The sequence below is a fragment of the Homo sapiens genome, chromosome 5 (assembly GCF_000001405.40).
Source record: "Homo sapiens chromosome 5, GRCh38.p14 Primary Assembly".
Classification (NCBI taxonomy): domain Eukaryota; kingdom Metazoa; phylum Chordata; class Mammalia; order Primates; family Hominidae; genus Homo; species Homo sapiens.
The window spans coordinates 78,568,714-78,585,416 of NC_000005.10; the positions used below are offsets into that span (position 1 = coordinate 78,568,714).

Here is a 16,703-nt window from a genome sequence, read left to right on the forward strand (position 1 = left end):
AGGATCACAGAGGCCACAGAGGGGGAAAGTCTCAGCAACTGTCCTCTCACAATCCTTCCCTGAGACCTGAGGTCTATGCCCATCCACAGCAAGAATGGGAGCTTCATGGCAGAGCACTGTGTATCACAGGACACTCTGCAATTCATTTTCTCATTTTATAGGCACTATTACTAAAAGGGGGCCGGAGTGTGGGTGGGGAGAGACATCTTTACTATCCCCATTTTATAAACCAAGAATTTGAGCCACTTAAGCTAAATCACACCATTAGTAAATGACAGAATACGGCCTTCAATCTAGGACTTCTGACCCCCCAGGCAGGCCAGTGTATTTCCAGCTAGGCAATACTGCAACAACCAACGTAAGATGCCTGCAACCATCATTCTTATTAAGTATTATCTCCTCATATTAAGAACAGGGGCAAGGATGGGCCCCAAAGACTTGAAGCACCGAGGCAAATACCAAAGCAAGATTAGCTAAAACAAAAATACAGTAAGAGCTCTGCTACTTTCACAAAACCATCCCTTCTACCTGACTAGGAAGAGCTCATTATATTTTCAGTAGACACACTCTCTAAGGCTTTATTTACATGAGTCAACTAAAGGAATAATTGTCCAAATCCTACTTTACTGTGCTCTACTGATACAACAAATGCTCGAGGAAGTCTGTCCACATTTTAAGGGGAGTCTGTGGCCACATACTATGCACAAAGAGCACTCCCCATTTCTGCAGCCAAAGCATTAATCGTTGCTCCAGAACTAGGCTGGTGTAACTTTTTTTTTAAAGTCTGAAATGCATTCTCTGACAACAGGTCCAGGACTACCTCACAATTGTGTCTGACAACAGGAGTTTAACAGAACTGGGTCAGCCATTGAAGGATTGCTGAACCTTGCAAGATTTTCAAGGAAAGACATGAGAGTGTCGAGTTTCATGAACCGTCTACCAAGCACAGAAAGTGGCAGCTTGCCAAAGGCTGGACTGTGTTAAACGCATGTGAGACGCTGGGAACCTGAACCCCAACAACGCCGGCCCTGCCACTCAACCACAGTGGTGAAAGACTGAGGTTCAAGTTTCCAAAGACCTCGCGGACTCTAAGCCAAACGTTGCTAATCAGGAAAAATTCCTTCTCTTAAGGAAGGAGAAACTCCTTGATTCAAACATTATCCCATCAACGTAAAGCTGTTAGAGAGTATGTTTTTAAATATCTAGGTACAACAGAATAGCCTATAACGTGCCAGCCACAAGTCATATTCAATTATACTGCTTTTTAACATGCCAGGTGTGCATATCAAAACACTGCTATTGTTATTCCCACACTGCTGGGACCATGTTCATTCACATAATTCTTACCTCTTCCCCAATATTTAGTTATAAATCTATGGGACAACAAGGTCCTTGAGAACAAAACTAATTCTAGCTTACTCCTCTCAATATCTCTTGCACTCAACATAGGGCATGACATAGAGTAGACAATTCATAAATGTTTACTGAATAAACAAAAGGATCATTGCCCTATGAACATTCCCTACAGATAGTAGTTAGAAAAGTCAGGCTATGTAGAAGAAAGAAATACTGGGTTAACGAGAGTGGAGAAAATCATCAGGCAAACATGACAGCAGGAATTCCGGCATGAGAAGAAAGCGCAGGAGGCAAGGAGGAATCGCAGGCAGCAATGGAGCACAGAGTAGCAGTGATGCTGTCCAAGGCAGGGGGGATCCTCCAGTGGGTGTGTTTCCAAAACACCAGTGTCTGGACCCACCTCTGTGAACTCCTTCTATTGTAGGGTAGCCCTAGACTATGAGTGATGAAGGAGAGTGACAGGGGAGCAAATGTGTATAGGCAATTCTGAGAAACCCTCCTCCAGATGACAATTACTCAACTGTCTTGCTTTTAACCTTGAATATATATATACGTATATATATAGTATATATATATATACGTATATATATATATACGTATGATCATTTTGCAAGACAGAAACTACTGTGAATAGTGTTGAGCACGAGCAATGTGCAAACCTCATCAAATATCCTACTTGTTCCAGAATAGGTTATTTAAGATCCACAGACACAGGGCATTACAGGCAGACAGGTGAGTGCAGCACACTTGGGGAATAGGCCAGGCAAACAGGTGGCCGCAGTGAATAACTTGGGCTGTAAGTGCTGACAAGCGCTTTCTGTGCCTGACAGTTCTTAGTGGTCTGCATTCCAAATCTAGGCATAAGCTTTAAGTAATAACAGACCAATGTTTCTGAAAAGCAGATGCCAAGATTAAAACTAGAAGACAAGACACAGAGTAAGGGAGATGTAGGGAAGGAACACTCTCATGGAGGCATCTGGAAAGAGAAGGTGGAAAAGCCTCCGGTTCCTTCTCGCATCTTTCCTTTTCCAAAGGCAGCACTCAAAATCAGGTAAATGGAAATTGTCCTCTTAAAACACACCCACCCCCAGCTCATCTGTCCTGGAGTTTGCTGCACACTGCCCATCACAGGTCATGGTGCTGTGCTCCTCTCCTTTTTTTGGCCTGTGTGGACCCTGAACTCGATGCTGCATTCTGCAAACCTCAGATTTGAGGCCCAGGGCATCTGCCTCTGTAACTATTTTGCCTCTATATCCTTCCCAACTCCATGCATGAAACTCTGCTCAAGACCCAACTTCAGTGTCATCTTCCACGCAGCCTTCTCTGAACCCACCCTCGCCTCTGCCCTCTCCGTGCCACCCTTCTCTGAGCTCACGCAGCTCAGAGAGTGGTAGGGGTCACATCCACCATACTAATAATTATTCGCTTGTCTAACTCCCTGTTTCAAGTCCATCCACTCATCTCATGGCTCACATTTACAAACTGTGGCTTGGGGTGACATCCAAAAATGACCAAAACAGTCCTTGACTGGGAAGGACTAACAGAGGGTGAGGCAGGCCCCCCCAAATCACAGATATTCATACTCATCCCTTGCTTCATTCAAATCTCCATGCAAATGTTATCTCCTTCCCTGACCACCCTTGCTAAAAGTGCAACACACCCCTCTGTGCCTCCAGCACTGCCTGTCCACAGCTCTCACCACTGCCTGGAGCCCATCATATGGATGGATAAGGTGGATATACAGAGACAGAAATGTCTAGCTAGGTAAGTACAGAAATAGATCTGAATTTTTAAGTTAGTTGTCTATCCACTAGGATGTAAGCTCCCTGCAGACAAGGCTTTTAATCAGTTTTGGTCTGTGATATGTAGATCCCTAACACCAGTAATAGTGCCTGAGAAATAACGCACTCTCTCAGTAAATATCAGTTGATGAATACACGCGTGGGCAGATGATAATGTCTTGACCAAATGCTGGGGGGAAAGGAGATCAGACGAGATAGGGAGGACATTTTGCTCTGTTGAAGCTTTTAAGGTTTGAAGTACCTAGCTGGGCAACCAGGTAGGGGGGATTCCAGTAGCACAGGCAATATAGTTTGGAAAACTGCAAACATATAGGAGGTGACTGAAGTCACCTATGAAGTTTCCTATGACTGAAGTCATATGAAAGAGTGAGATTACCCCCAGAAAAGCATGTGAAGTAATTAAGGAAAGAGCTGGCTACTATACAGTAAAAAGAAAAAATAGCATCTACCTCAGAGGTATGTATGTATTAAAAGAGTTAGGGCATGTGAAATATCTGAGCTATCTCTTCAAAGCTTAGCCAAATAATTCTACAAAGTACATTTTATATACATATATATATATGTATGTATGTGTATATATATGTATGTGTATATACATGTGTATATATATGTGTATATATATGTGTGTATATATATATATACACACACATATATATATATACACACACATATATATATACTAACTAAATATATGAGGACATTGTAAGACTGTGAAAGACCACTTTCAGTGCCAAATGACAAGTATTTGGGTACAGCATGGACCTAAAAATTGAACATTTACACCAGGCTGTGTTTTTCTTTTTTAGGGCTAGGAGTTACTCAAGAGTTGTTCAGAGTTTAACAGATATACTATTTAACAGATACGGAGTTTAATAGATAATCCTGCATTATCTACAGCAGCAGTCCCCAACCTTTTTGCCACCAGGGACCTGTTTCCTGGAATACAATTTTTCTGTGGGCAATGGGTAAGGGAGAGATGGTTTCGGGATGAAACTGTTCCACCTTAGATCATCAGGCATTAGATTCTCATAAGGAGCATACAACTTAGATTCCTCGCACGCACGGTTCACAATAGGGTTTGTGCTCCTATGAGAATCTAATGCTGCTGCTGAGCTGACAGAAGGTGGAGCTCAGGCCGTAATGCTCGCTCGCCTGGTCCTGCTGTGCAGCTTGGGTCCCAAAAAGGCTTGGGCACCCAAGACCTACAGTGTGAAATAACACTGCATTGCTTCTCATTATCTAGTGGGGAAGAGAAAACAGGCAGGAACTCAATTTCCTGGAACGGGGAGTACAAGGAAAAAACTCATTTCTACAAGATCCATGAACAGAATTGTCTACCATGGTGGGTGCAAGCACTATCGTGACAGCCTTAAACCCAATCCATGAGGAGAAAAACTTCTTGGCACAGACTAAAAAGTAGTGACAAATGTGGCATTTGAGCTAAACTGAAAGGATGACTTAAATGTAAAGGTCCAATTTTAAGATAGGAAAAAATACTGGTTGGCTTAGGTGGTTAGCTTTTAAGTTTGCAACTAACTATAGCTTAGCTAAAAATAACCACCCCAAGTGAATGGCAGGGAAACAAGCGTCACTACAGCTGCCCCACTTAGAAGAGTTGGTCAGGGAAGTTGAGGCCAACACACTCAACCGCTGAAACAGCAGGGAAGGGCATGTTGGAGGTATCTCTGCAGAGGGGGTCTCTCAACAGAGGGACCTGTAAGTTTCACTGGTTAGGCAGAGGAGGAAGTGAGCAGAGCTCCTGCACAGCCTGTCTCTGCTTTCATCTTTTTTCCCCCCATGTTAGAATTTGACTTAAAATTTTGAAGAAAGCACTCACTGTTGAAACAAACACTTTGGAAGCCATTGCCCTGGACCCAAATAATTCTGGGGGAAAAATAAATCACAAGTTTTAAAATTCTAATTTTTATGTCCATTTTTAAATTGATTCAAGATTATCTTGATGGCTACCATGGGGGTAGGTTTGTGCATAGATTAAGAAGTGTGTAAGTTTTAGAATTCTGTAATGTTTGAATTTTGTATAATAGGAATGAACACTTGTCTCATCAAAAGTGCCTAACTAAGATCGTTTACTTCAAACTACTTGTGTTTCCTATATTTTATAGGAAACAAATTGTAACTAAATCCAATAGAAGCAAATACCCAAAACAGAAGAAAATTTCTCTTTTAATGCCAGCTCTTCTCCCAATTCCCAAAGAGGAGGAGAGTACGCTCACGATGAGAACTATGAAGCATTATTTACATAATGTCTGTTCTAACTTAGAGGAGGAAGTTTTGTCTTCAGACTGAAGAGGCCCACTAACAGTGGGCGTGAAGATACTGGTCCGTGGGGAGTATTTCACATTTCCCTTTAGCTGTTAAAGACGTGGGGAGGGTGCCCTCTGTACACCAGGCCCAGCCCTCCAGCAGCAGGGCAAAGGCCCAGCTTGGCCCCAGGAGGAGAGGCTGAGCTGGGATATCCTTCCATGCCCTCTAACCCTTCCCTGTGACCCATGGCACACATGTGAGAGCCAGTTGGTTGGGGTTAAAAGTACAGTCTGGCCAGAGGGCCCAGCTCAGCTAACTGGCCCACATACCAACTGAACCCTGACCCTGGCCTCACCATCTCCATTCTCTAACCAAATGTGTTAATTGGCTGCAGATTCTTGAACTATGTCTCAGATGCATTTCCCAACTAAGAACAACAAAAAAGTGATGGGACATAATTTTGTCTAGTAAGGGAAAACGGTTTTAACCAAACCACTGCTGATCAGCAAATTCAACAATCAGTGGTAAACAACCACCTACAATTGATTGAAGTCCTTTTCCCCACAAGATTTTTCTGTGCTAACAGGTTGCAGATGGCTCGCTGAAACCTTCAGAAAACACTGTCCTCAGAGGCAATTCTGCTGATGCATGTTTTGGTTCCTGAGCTTTCGCTTACATGAAGTGAAGGCTATTCATGCTAAAGCAGGGTGATTCTTCCTCTCTCCAGACCTGTTCTTGCTGAGCGTCACCAAACACCTCACCACCTCAGTCTCTCTGTGTGACTCAGAACTGCTGGCTGTCAGAGCAGGAAGGACCTCAGAGAGACTCTGGCCCAAAGTCATCATTTCATAAAAGAATCGAGAGACGTAAAGTGACCAAAGGTCTTGGTGGCAGAGCTAGGGACCGCTAAACAGACACTGCTTCCTAATCCTGTGTTCTTGCCAGTGGATTATAAAACAGGCTGCTCAGCTGTGCCTCAGGGACCACGTGGCAAGAAGGAGGCTGCAGGCAACCCCCACAGGGCAGCAGCTCTTGATCTGTTTCCTATATTAGGGTTAAACACAAGATTTCATTTGAAAGAAAGGGTTTTGCTGTAAATAAACAAACACCTTGAAAACCACCACATGGAGGGCCAGGCACAGTGGCCCTCCCATGTAATCCCAGCACTTTGGGAGGCCGAGGTGCGTGGATCACAAGGTCAGGAGATCGAGACCATCCTGGCTAATATGGTGAAACCCCGTCTCTACTAAAAATACAAAAAAATTAGCCGGGCGTGGTGGCACGCACCTGTAGTCCCAGCTACTCGGGAGGCTGAGGCAGGAGAATCACTTGAACCTGGGAGGCGGAGGTTGCAGTGAGCCAAGATTGCGCCACTGCACTCCAGCCTGGTGACAGAGCGAGACTCCATCTCAAAAAAAGAAAAAAAGAAAAACCCACATGGCAAAACTAACTCCACAAAATGTCAAAAGAGAGAAATAACTAAAAACATAGGTTTTATTTTAATGAATGTGTCTTTTTAAAATGGAACAAGCAAAGAAAACAGCACTAAAACAAAATGTTATAGCTTAAGAGTTCTCTCCTTTATTTTTCCCTGACCAGGAAAATAACACACACACTACAAAAGACAAAGAGAAGAAAAACAAAGGGAAGATAGTGTAATTTAGTTTCTAGGTCTCTGGAAAAGTCTTCATCCTGCACAGACTGGACAATTTCAAGAAGTAGAGTCGCAGAGGTCATTTAATCTTCTAATTTAAATTTGTAAAACTTTCTTTTTGGAGACAGGGTCTTGCTCTGTCACCTATGCTGGAGCGCAGTGGCCTGGTGCAATCTTACAGGGATGAGCCACTGTGCCCAGCCAAAATATGTAAGATAAATCTGGCCGGGCGCAGTGGCTCACGCCTGTAATCCCAGCACTTTGGGAGGCCGAGGCGGGTGGATCACGAGGTCAGGATATCGAGACCATCCTGGCTAACACGGTGAAACCCCGTCTCCACTAAAAAAACAAAAAATTCTCCGGGCGTGGTGGTGGGTGCCTGTAGTCCCAGCTACTCCGGAGGCTGAGGCAGGAGAATGGCGTGAGCCCGGGAGGCGGAGCTTGCAGTGAGCCGAGATCGCGCCACTGCACTCCAGCCTGGGCAACAGAGCGAGACTCCATCTCAAAAAAAAAAAAAAGATAAATTTTTACTCAAAAAAGAATGAATGAAAGAAATTAGAGTCTTCATAAATTACCCACGAAAAAGTAAATAAATACGTAAAGGTAAGTCTCCCAATTTTACCTTTTGCTCTCCTGTCCGCTGAGCACCTTTATCAGCCTTAAATTTCTCCCATTCCTAAAAAAACAAGTCCTCCCCACAGGTGCTCATGAACCATGAGCTGTGTCTCTTTAAGGGCAGTGGAGGGAGGGAAACTGGTTTGCCACTATGCTGTAGGCGTCTGAACTGGATACAATTTGCAGGAGAAGAGAAGGCCCCAGGGACACTGGAAATTCAACAAGTCACCAAGAACTATGTTCACTGTGGTTTGACATTCCACTAATAACCTTTTCTTTGACTTTTCAATTCTTTGTCATTCTAGGCTCCCACTGGAGCCAGATGAATTTAAAATCTTCTGACAATCTTTTTTTGTTTGTTTGTTTCTTAACTTTTACTTTAGGTTCAGGGGTACATAGGCAGATTTGTTATATAGATACCAACAGTCTTCTTAACTTTTTAAAGTGAAATAGCTTCCAGTGACATTGAACCAAGCAATCTTTTAGCATTTTATAGATCATTTAAAGCCAGCAAACTTGATCATTGGCAATGCAATAGTTCTTTACAGGAAGTACCCACAAGCTAAGTGCAGTTCTTTAGAGATTTTGTTAATAGGTTCAGTCCAGTCAGCTCTGTCTATGCCAAGTGTCCTCTCAGTGCCATCCTCTGAAAAGATCAAATGTTTTCTAAAAGGATAACCCCTCTTACTTCCTCCCTCCCACTCATTCCTAAATTTCCACAAGCAACAATATCATACAGTGCAAATGAGAGACGCAGGCCTTCCAGGCACAGGGAAGTCAAAACATTTTAAGAAGTCACAGGATAAGGTAACAAAGGACTGATCGTCCTGATGCCCTAACTGTATATGAATATCAACATGAGTTGTTTCATAAACTTGGAACACTGCAAAAGGCCATCTTGGTCAGCCTCCAAGCAGACTTACTTAAGTGACCTAATTTTTATGTTCTACTTCTGAGGATCTCCAGGACAGAAATTCCACAATCTCCCATTGGTATCTTGACTTGTGATTTTATTTCCTTCAGAGTCAAAGGGGGCTGTTTCTCTCAACATTTTTTTTAAGTTAAATAAGAGCTCAACTCACATAAAAGGTGCCATTTAAACGCTGAAACTGGCAACTGGAACAACACAAAAGTGAACGACCAAGAACTAGGCTATCTGCCGTACACGGGTCCATTTGCCTGGCTCACTACGGACAGTCATACTGCACTCTCCCCAAGCTGAGTCCATTCAAGACTCAAGCTCACAGCCTTAAGAAATGACTCCACAGCTCCTAAAAGGAGAGTAGCTTACATACAATGAAGAAATATTTCCTAGTCACTGGAGAAAATCTTTCCCAGGCCTTCCACACTTTCTAAACGAGAAAAAGACAATTTTGTTTTTCTGATGTCCTTTGAGCTTTTTTTTTTTTAGACTCCCCTAAGCAATATCATATTCAGTTTTCTTAAATTTTTTTAAAAGTGAACTTTCCACTGAGCTACACTCCTTGAAACAAGTCTTCCAGAGATTTTTGCCCTTGGCCTCCTGGAATTTTTCAATGAAACTCGAAAGAGATGTTTACCTGACCCCAAATGTTATCCTAATGAAAACTCTGTTTTTAATTCTTTGAACTCTTCTCTTTCTCTTTCCTTGTCATGCCCTCTGGGAAAGAAAGACAAGTACAGATGTTGGCTTGATCTCAACTGGCAAACACCAGGATAACTGAGTTCTAATCATTTCTTAGGAACTTGGACAGAATCACAAAGGTATTAATTATGCTCCCTCTTCTGGCATGGTCCTCTGTACTTCACTTGCTTAGAGGATCAATGTAAAGATAGGAAATGCCAGCACATTATCTTTTTGACAAAAACAAGATGCTCATCACAGGAAGAATAAAAGGAGTATTACAGGATTTTCAAAAGCAATGAGGGAGCTGAAAGAAATATAACCTCAGGGGCTGGGAAGAGGAGGAGTGAGAACCACTTTTTGCCAGTTAAAGGATCTAAATGAGGCTGGGTCCAGGCTCTCTCTCACAGGGGGGTTTTGGGGAGTTTTGGAATTGGGAAACTACAATCAGGGTTTAGTTAATTTCCTTCTCTTGCAAGACGGAAGGTTCTGGTACAGAGGTTTTGGCAATTCCATTTCAAATAGCCACATTTACCCCTGTTTAGGAAGGGCTTAGGCTGTTTTTCTTGCATATGTGCACACACACACACACACACACACACACACACACACAGAGACAGGTCATATGTATTTCAAGGGCTTCTTATCTCAAGAGAGCCTCTGCCTAGAGACATGTACTTTACCAAGAAATCAATGGGTGAAATGAATGACTTGACTTTGCTGTCAGTTTTCTCTGGGAAATGTCTTCCAGGAATCATCTATGTACAAGGTTTTTGACAACATTCCACTCTACTCCATCTCTAACTCTAGGTTCTCAGTAGAATGTTTGTTCCCAGCTACCTGTCTTGTAACAAAGTACAATGGCCACGTGATCTATCAGCAACGTAGGTGAGCAATGTGGGGGCTCAGAGACGCCAACCAAGTCTTGCTCCCTGCTCCTAGAAGTTACAATCCAGTGGCAGAGAGAGCATCTATTCACCAAGAGCTGTGGTTGAGGTAGGCCCTTCTGGGGAGGTACATTCCGTCTAACAGGGATTATTAACTTGAACCCAGTATCAAGGGGTAGGTTATTTCCTCCACCTTTTAGAATCTGACTCTGCAAAAGAAACAGATGAAAATTGTCCTTAAGCAAAGCAAAACACCCTCACATGACCTACAATAAGGTGACCCAAGTTTAGTGATTTTGCTATTGTTAAAGTCTGGCCATTTCTCTATACTGGGAGTGGAGAGGGAGGGGGAGCAGGAGAGGGTGGAGGAGGAGGAGGATTTTCTGTTACTGCTAAGATTCTTAGTGCTCGCAAGGTTTTTTTTTTGTTGTTGTTGTTGTTTTTCATTTATTTATTATTATTATACTTTAAGTTTTAGGGTACATGTGCACAATGTGCAGGTTAGTTACATATGTATACATGTGCCATGCTGGTGCGCTGCACCCACTAACTCGTCATCTAGCATTAGGTACATCTCCCAGTGCTAACCCTCCCCCCTTCCCCGACCCCACAACAGGCCCCAGAGTGTGATGTTCCCCTTCCTGTGTCCATGTGTTCTCATTGTTCAATTCCCACCTATGAGTGAGAATATGCGGTGTTTGGTTTTTTGTTCTTGCGATAGTTTACTGAGAATGATGATTTCCAATTTCATCCATGTCCCTACAAAGGACATGAACTCATCATTTTTTATGGCTGCATAGTATTCCATGGTGTATATGTGCCACATTTTCTTAATCCAGTCTTATCATTGTTGGACATTTGGGTTGGTTCCAAGTCTTTGCTATTGTGAATAATGCCGCAATAAACATACGTGTGCATGTGTCTTTATAGCAGCATGATTTATAGTCTTTTGGGTATATACCCAGTAATGGGATGGCTGGGTCAAATGGTGTTTCTAGTCTAGTTCTAGATCCTTGAGGAATCGCCACACTGACTTCCACAATGTTTGAACTAGTTTACAGTCCCACCAACAGTGTAAAAGTGTTCCTATTTCTCCACATCCTCTCCAGCACCTGTTGTTTCCTAACTTTTTAATGACTGCCATTCTAACTGGTATGAGATGGTATCTCATTGTGGTTTTGATTTGCATTTCTCTGATGGCCAGTGATGGTGAGCATTTTTTCATGTGTTTTTTGGCTGCATAAATGTCTTCTTTTGAGAAGTGTCTGTTCATGTCCTTCACCCACTTTTTGATGGGGTTGTTTGTTTTTTTCTTGTAAATTTGAGTTCATTGTAGATTTTGGATATTAGCCCTTTGTCAGATGAGTAGGTTGCAAAAATTTTCTCCCATTTTGTAGGTTGCCTGTTCACACTGATGGTAATTTCTTTTGCCGTGCAGAAGCTCTTTAGTTTAATTAGATCCCATTTGTCAATTCTGGCTTTTGTTGCCATTGCTTTTGGTGTTTTAGACATGAAGTCCTTGCCCATGCCTATGTCCTGAATGGTAATGCCTAGGTTTTCTTCTAGGGTTTTTACGGTTTTAGGTCTAACGTTTAAGTCTTTAATTCATCTTGAATTGATTTTTGTATAAGGTGTAAGGAAGGGATCCAGTTTCAGCTTTCTACATATGGCTAGCCAGTTTTCCCAGCACCATTTATTAAATAGGGAATCCTTTCCCCATTGCTTGTTTTTCTCAGGTTTGTCAAAGATCAGATAGTTGGAGATATGCGGCGTTCTTTCTGAGGGCTCTGTTCTGTTCCATCGGTCTATTATCTCTGTTTTGGTACCAGTACCATGCTGTTTTGGTTACTGTAGCCTTGTAGTATAGTTTGAAGTCAGGTAGTGTGATGCCTCCAGCTTTGTTCTTTTGGCTTAGGATTGACTTAGCGATGCGGGCTCTTTTTTGGTTCCATATGAACTTTAAAGTAGTTTTTTCCAATTCTGTGAAGAAAGTCATTGGTAGCTTGATGGGGATGGCATTGAATCTACAAATTACCTTGGGCAGTATGGCCATTTTCACGATATTGATTCTTCCTACCCGTGAGCATAGAATGTTCTTCCATTTGTTTGTATCCTCTTTTATTTCCTTGAGCAGTGGTTTGTAGTTCTCCTTGAAGAGGTCCTTCCCATCCCTTTTAAGTTGGATTCCTAGGTATTTTATTCTCTTTGAAGCAATTGTGAATGGGAGTTCACTCATGATTTGGCTCTCTGTTTGTCTGTTGTTGGTGTATAAGAATGCTTGTGATTTTTGTACATTGATTGACGATGGGGTTTTCTAGATATACAATCATGTCATCTGCAAACAGGGACAATTTGACTTCCTCTTTTCCTAATTGAATACCCTTTATTTCCTTCCCCTGCCTAATTGCCCTGGCCAGAACTTCCAACACTATATTGAATAGGAGTGGTGAGAGAGGGCATCCCTGTCTTGTGCCAGTTTTCAAAGGGAATGCTTCCAGTTCTTACACATTCAGTATGATATTGGCTGTGGGTTTGTCATAGATAGCTCTTATTATTTTGAGATACGTCCCATCAATACCTAATTTATTGAGAGTTTTTAGCATGAAGTTGTTGAATTTTGTCAAAGGCCTTTTCTGCATCTACTGAGATAATCATGTGGTTTTTGTCTTTGGTTCTGTTTATATGCTGGATTACATTTATTGATTTGCGTATATTGAACCAGCCTTGCATCCCAGGGATGAAGCCCACTTGATCATGGTGGATAAGCTTTTTGATGTGCTGTTGGATTCGGTTTCCCAGTATTTTATTGAGGATTTTTGCATCAATGTTCATCAAGGATATTGGTCTAAAATTCTCTTTTTTGGTTGTGCCTCTACCCGGCTTTGGTATCAGGATGATGCTGGCCTCATAAAATGAGTTAGGGAGGATTCCCTGTTTTTCTATTGATTGGAATAGTTTCAGAAGGAGTGGTACCAGTTCCTCCTTGTACCTCTGGTAGAATTCGGCTGTGAATCCATCTGGTCCTGTACTATTTTTGGTTGGTAAGCTATTGATTATTGCCACAATTTCAGATCCTGTTATTGGTCTATTCAGAGATTCAACTTCTTCATGGTTTAGTCTTGGGAGAGTGTATGTGTCAAGGAATTTATCCATTACTTCTAGATTTTCTGGTTTATTTGCGTAGAGATGTTTGTAGTATTCTCTGATGGTAGTTTGTATTTCTGTGGGATCAGTGGTGATACCCCTTTATCATTTTTTATTGCATCTATTTGATTCTTCTCTCTTTTTTTATTAGTCTTGCTAGCAGTTTATCAATTTTGTTGATCCTTTCAAAAAACCAGCTCCTGGATTCATTAATTTTTTGAAGGTTTTTTTGTGTCTCTATTTCCTTCAGTTCTGCTCTGATTTTAGTTATTTCTTGCCTTCTGCTAGCTTTTGAATGTGTTTGCTCTTGCTTTTCTAGTTCTTTTAATTGTGATGTTAGGGTGTCAATTTTGGATCTTTCCTGCTTTCTCTTGTGGGCATTTAGTGCTATAAATTTCCCTCTACACACTGCTTTGAATGCGTCCCAGAGATTCTGGTATGTTGTGTCTTTGTTCTCGTTGGTTTCAAAGAACATCTTTATTTGTGCCTTCATTTCGTTATGTACCCAGTAGTCATTCAGGAGCAGGTTGTTCAGTTTCCATGTAGTTGAGCGGTTTTGAGTGAGATTCTTAATCCTGAGTTCTAGTTTGATTGCACTGTGGTCTGAGAGACAGTTTGTTATAATTCCTGTTCTTTTACAGTTGCTGAGGAGAGCTTTACTTCCAAGTATGTGGTCAATTTTGGAATAGGTATGGTGTGGTGCTGAAAAAAATGTATATTCTGTTGATTTGGGGTGTAGAGCTCTGTAGATGTCTATTATGTCTGCTTGGTGCAGAGCTGAGTTCAATTCCTGGGTATCCTTGTTGACTTTCTGTCTCGTTGATCTGTCCAATGTTGACAGTGGGCTGTTGAAGTCTCCCATTATTAATGTGTGGGAGTCTAAGTGTCTTTGTAGGTCACTCAGGACTTGCTTTATGAATCTGGGTGCTCCTGTATTGGGTGCATATATATTTAGGACAGTTAGCTCTTCTTGTTGAATTTATCCCTTTAGCATTATGTAATGGCCTTGTCTCTTTTGATCTTTGTTGCTTTAAAGTCTGTTTTATCAGAGACTAGGATTGCAACCCCTGCCTTTTTTTGTTTTCCATTTGCTTGGTAGATCTTCCTCCATCCTTTTATTTTGAGCCTATGTGTGTCTCTGCACATGAGATGGGTTTCCTGAATACAGCACACTGATGGGTCTTGACTCTTTATCCAATTTGCCAGTCTGTGTCTTTTAATTGGAGCATTTAGTCCATTTACATTTAAAGTTAATATTGTTATGTGTGAATTTGATCCTGTCATTAAGATGCTAGCTGGTGATTTTGCTCGTTAGTTGATGCAGTTTCTTCCTAGTCTCGATGGTCTTTACATTTTGGCATGATTTTGCAGCGGCTGGTACTGGTTGTTCCTTTCCATGTTTAGCGCTTCCTTCAGGAGCTCTTTTAGGGCAGGCCTGGTGGTGACAAAATCTCTCAGCATTTGCTTGTCTGTAAAGTATTTTATTTCTCCTTCACTTATGAAGCTTAATTTGGCTGGATATGAAATTCTGGGTTGAAAATTCTTTTCTTTAAGAATGTTGAATATTGGCCCCCACTCTCTTCTGGCTTGTAGGGTTTCTGCCAAGAGATCTGCTGTTAGTCTGATGGGCTTCCCTTTGAGGGTAACCCAACCTTTCTCTCTGGCTGCCCTTAACATTTTTTCCTTCATTTCAACTTTGGTGAATCTGACAATTATGTGTCTTGGAGTTGCTCTTCTCGAGGAGTATCTTTGTGGCGTTCTCTGTATTTCCTGAATCTGAATGTTGGCCTGCCTTGCTAGATTGGGGAAGTTCTCCTGGATAATATCCTGCAGAGTGTTTTCCAACTTGGTTCCATTCTCCCCATCACTTTCAGGTACACCAATCAGACGTAGATTTGGTCTTTTCACATAGTCCCATATTTATTGGAGGCTTTGTTCATTTCTTTTTATTCTTTTTTCTCTAAACTTCCCTTCTCACTTCATTTCATTTATTTCATCTTCCATCGCTGATACCCTTTCTTCCAGTTGATCGCATCGGCTCCTGAGGCTTCTGCATTCTTCACGTAGTTCTCGAGCCTTGGTTTTCAGCTCCATCAGCTCCTTTAAGCACTTCTCTGTATTGGTTATTCTAGTTATACATTCTTCTAAATTTTTTTCAAAGTTTTCAACTTCTTTGCCTTTGGTTTGAATGTCCTCCCGTAGCTCGGAGTAATTTGATCATCTGAAGCCTTCTTCTCTCAGCTCGTCAAAGTCATTCTCCATCCAGCTTTGTTCCGTTGCTGGTGAGGAACTGCATTCCTTTGGAGGAGGAGAGGCGCCCTGCTTTTTAGAGTTTCCAGTTTTTCTGCTCTGTTTTTTCCCCATCTTTGTGGTTTTATCTACTTTTGGTCTTTGATGATGGTGATGTACAGATGGGTTTTTGGTGTGGATGTCCTTTCTGTTTGTGAGTTTTCCTTCTAACAGACAGGACCCTCAGCTGCAGGTCTGTTGGAGTACCGGGCCGTGTGAGGTGTCAGTCTGCCCCTGCTGGGGGGGTGCCTCCCAGTTAGGATGCTCGGGGGTCAGGGGTCAGGGACCCACTTGAGGAGGCAGTCTGCCCGTTCTCAGATCTCCAGCTGCATGCTGGGAAAACCACTGCTCTCTTCAAAGCTGTCAGACAGGGACATTTAAGTCTGCAGAGGTTATTGCTGTCTTTTTGTTTGTCTGTGCCCTGCCCCCAGAGGTGGAGCCTATAAAGACAGGCAGGCCTCCTTGAGCTGTGGTGGGCTCCACCCTGTTGGAGCTTCCTGGCTGCTCTGTTTACCTAAGCAAGCCTGGGCAATGGCGGGCACCCCTCCCCCAGCCTCGCTGCCGCCTTGCAGTTTGATCTCTGACTGCTGTGCTAGCAATCAACGAGACTCCGTGGGCGTAGGAACCTCTGAGCCAGGTGCGGGATATAATCTCCTGGTGCGCTGTGTTTTTTTTTTTTTTTTTTTTTTTTTTTTTGAGACGGAGTCTCGCTCTGTCGCCCAGGCTGGAGTGCAGTGGCGGGATCTCGGCTCATTGCAAGCTCCACCTCCCGGGTTCACGCCATTCTCCTGCCTCAGCCTCCCAAGTAGCTGGGACTACAGGTGCCCGCCACTACGCCCGGCTAATTTTTTGTATTTTTAGTAGAGACGGGGTTTCACCGTTTTTAGCCGGGATGGTCTCGATATCCTGACCTCGTGATCCGCCCGCCTCGGCCTCCCAAAGTGCTGGGATTACAGGCGTGAGCCACCGCGCCCGGCCTGGTGCGCTGTTTTTTAAGCCCGTTGGAAAAGCGCAGTATTCAGGTGGGAGTGACCCGATTTTCCAGGTGCCGTCTGTCACCCCTTTCTTTGACTAGGAAAGGGAACTCC

At 42.7% G+C, this 16,703-nt stretch overlaps 1 protein-coding gene across 6 annotated transcripts in view, besides 1 other annotated feature; it reads right to left on the reverse strand.

Moving 5' to 3' along the window:
- Nucleotides 1-16,703, reverse strand: part of LHFPL2 (LHFPL tetraspan subfamily member 2) — a 163,543-nt gene that overhangs the window by 83,484 nt on the left and 63,356 nt on the right. The window lies entirely within an intron of this gene.
- Nucleotides 4,720-4,769: an enhancer, noted in NCBI's record as "active region_22713". NCBI's record gives its function as "activates an Ori minimal core promoter by ATAC-STARR-seq in GM12878 lymphoblastoid cells {active_cell/tissue: GM12878}" and the evidence as "EXISTENCE:reporter gene assay evidence [ECO:0000049][PMID:35858748]".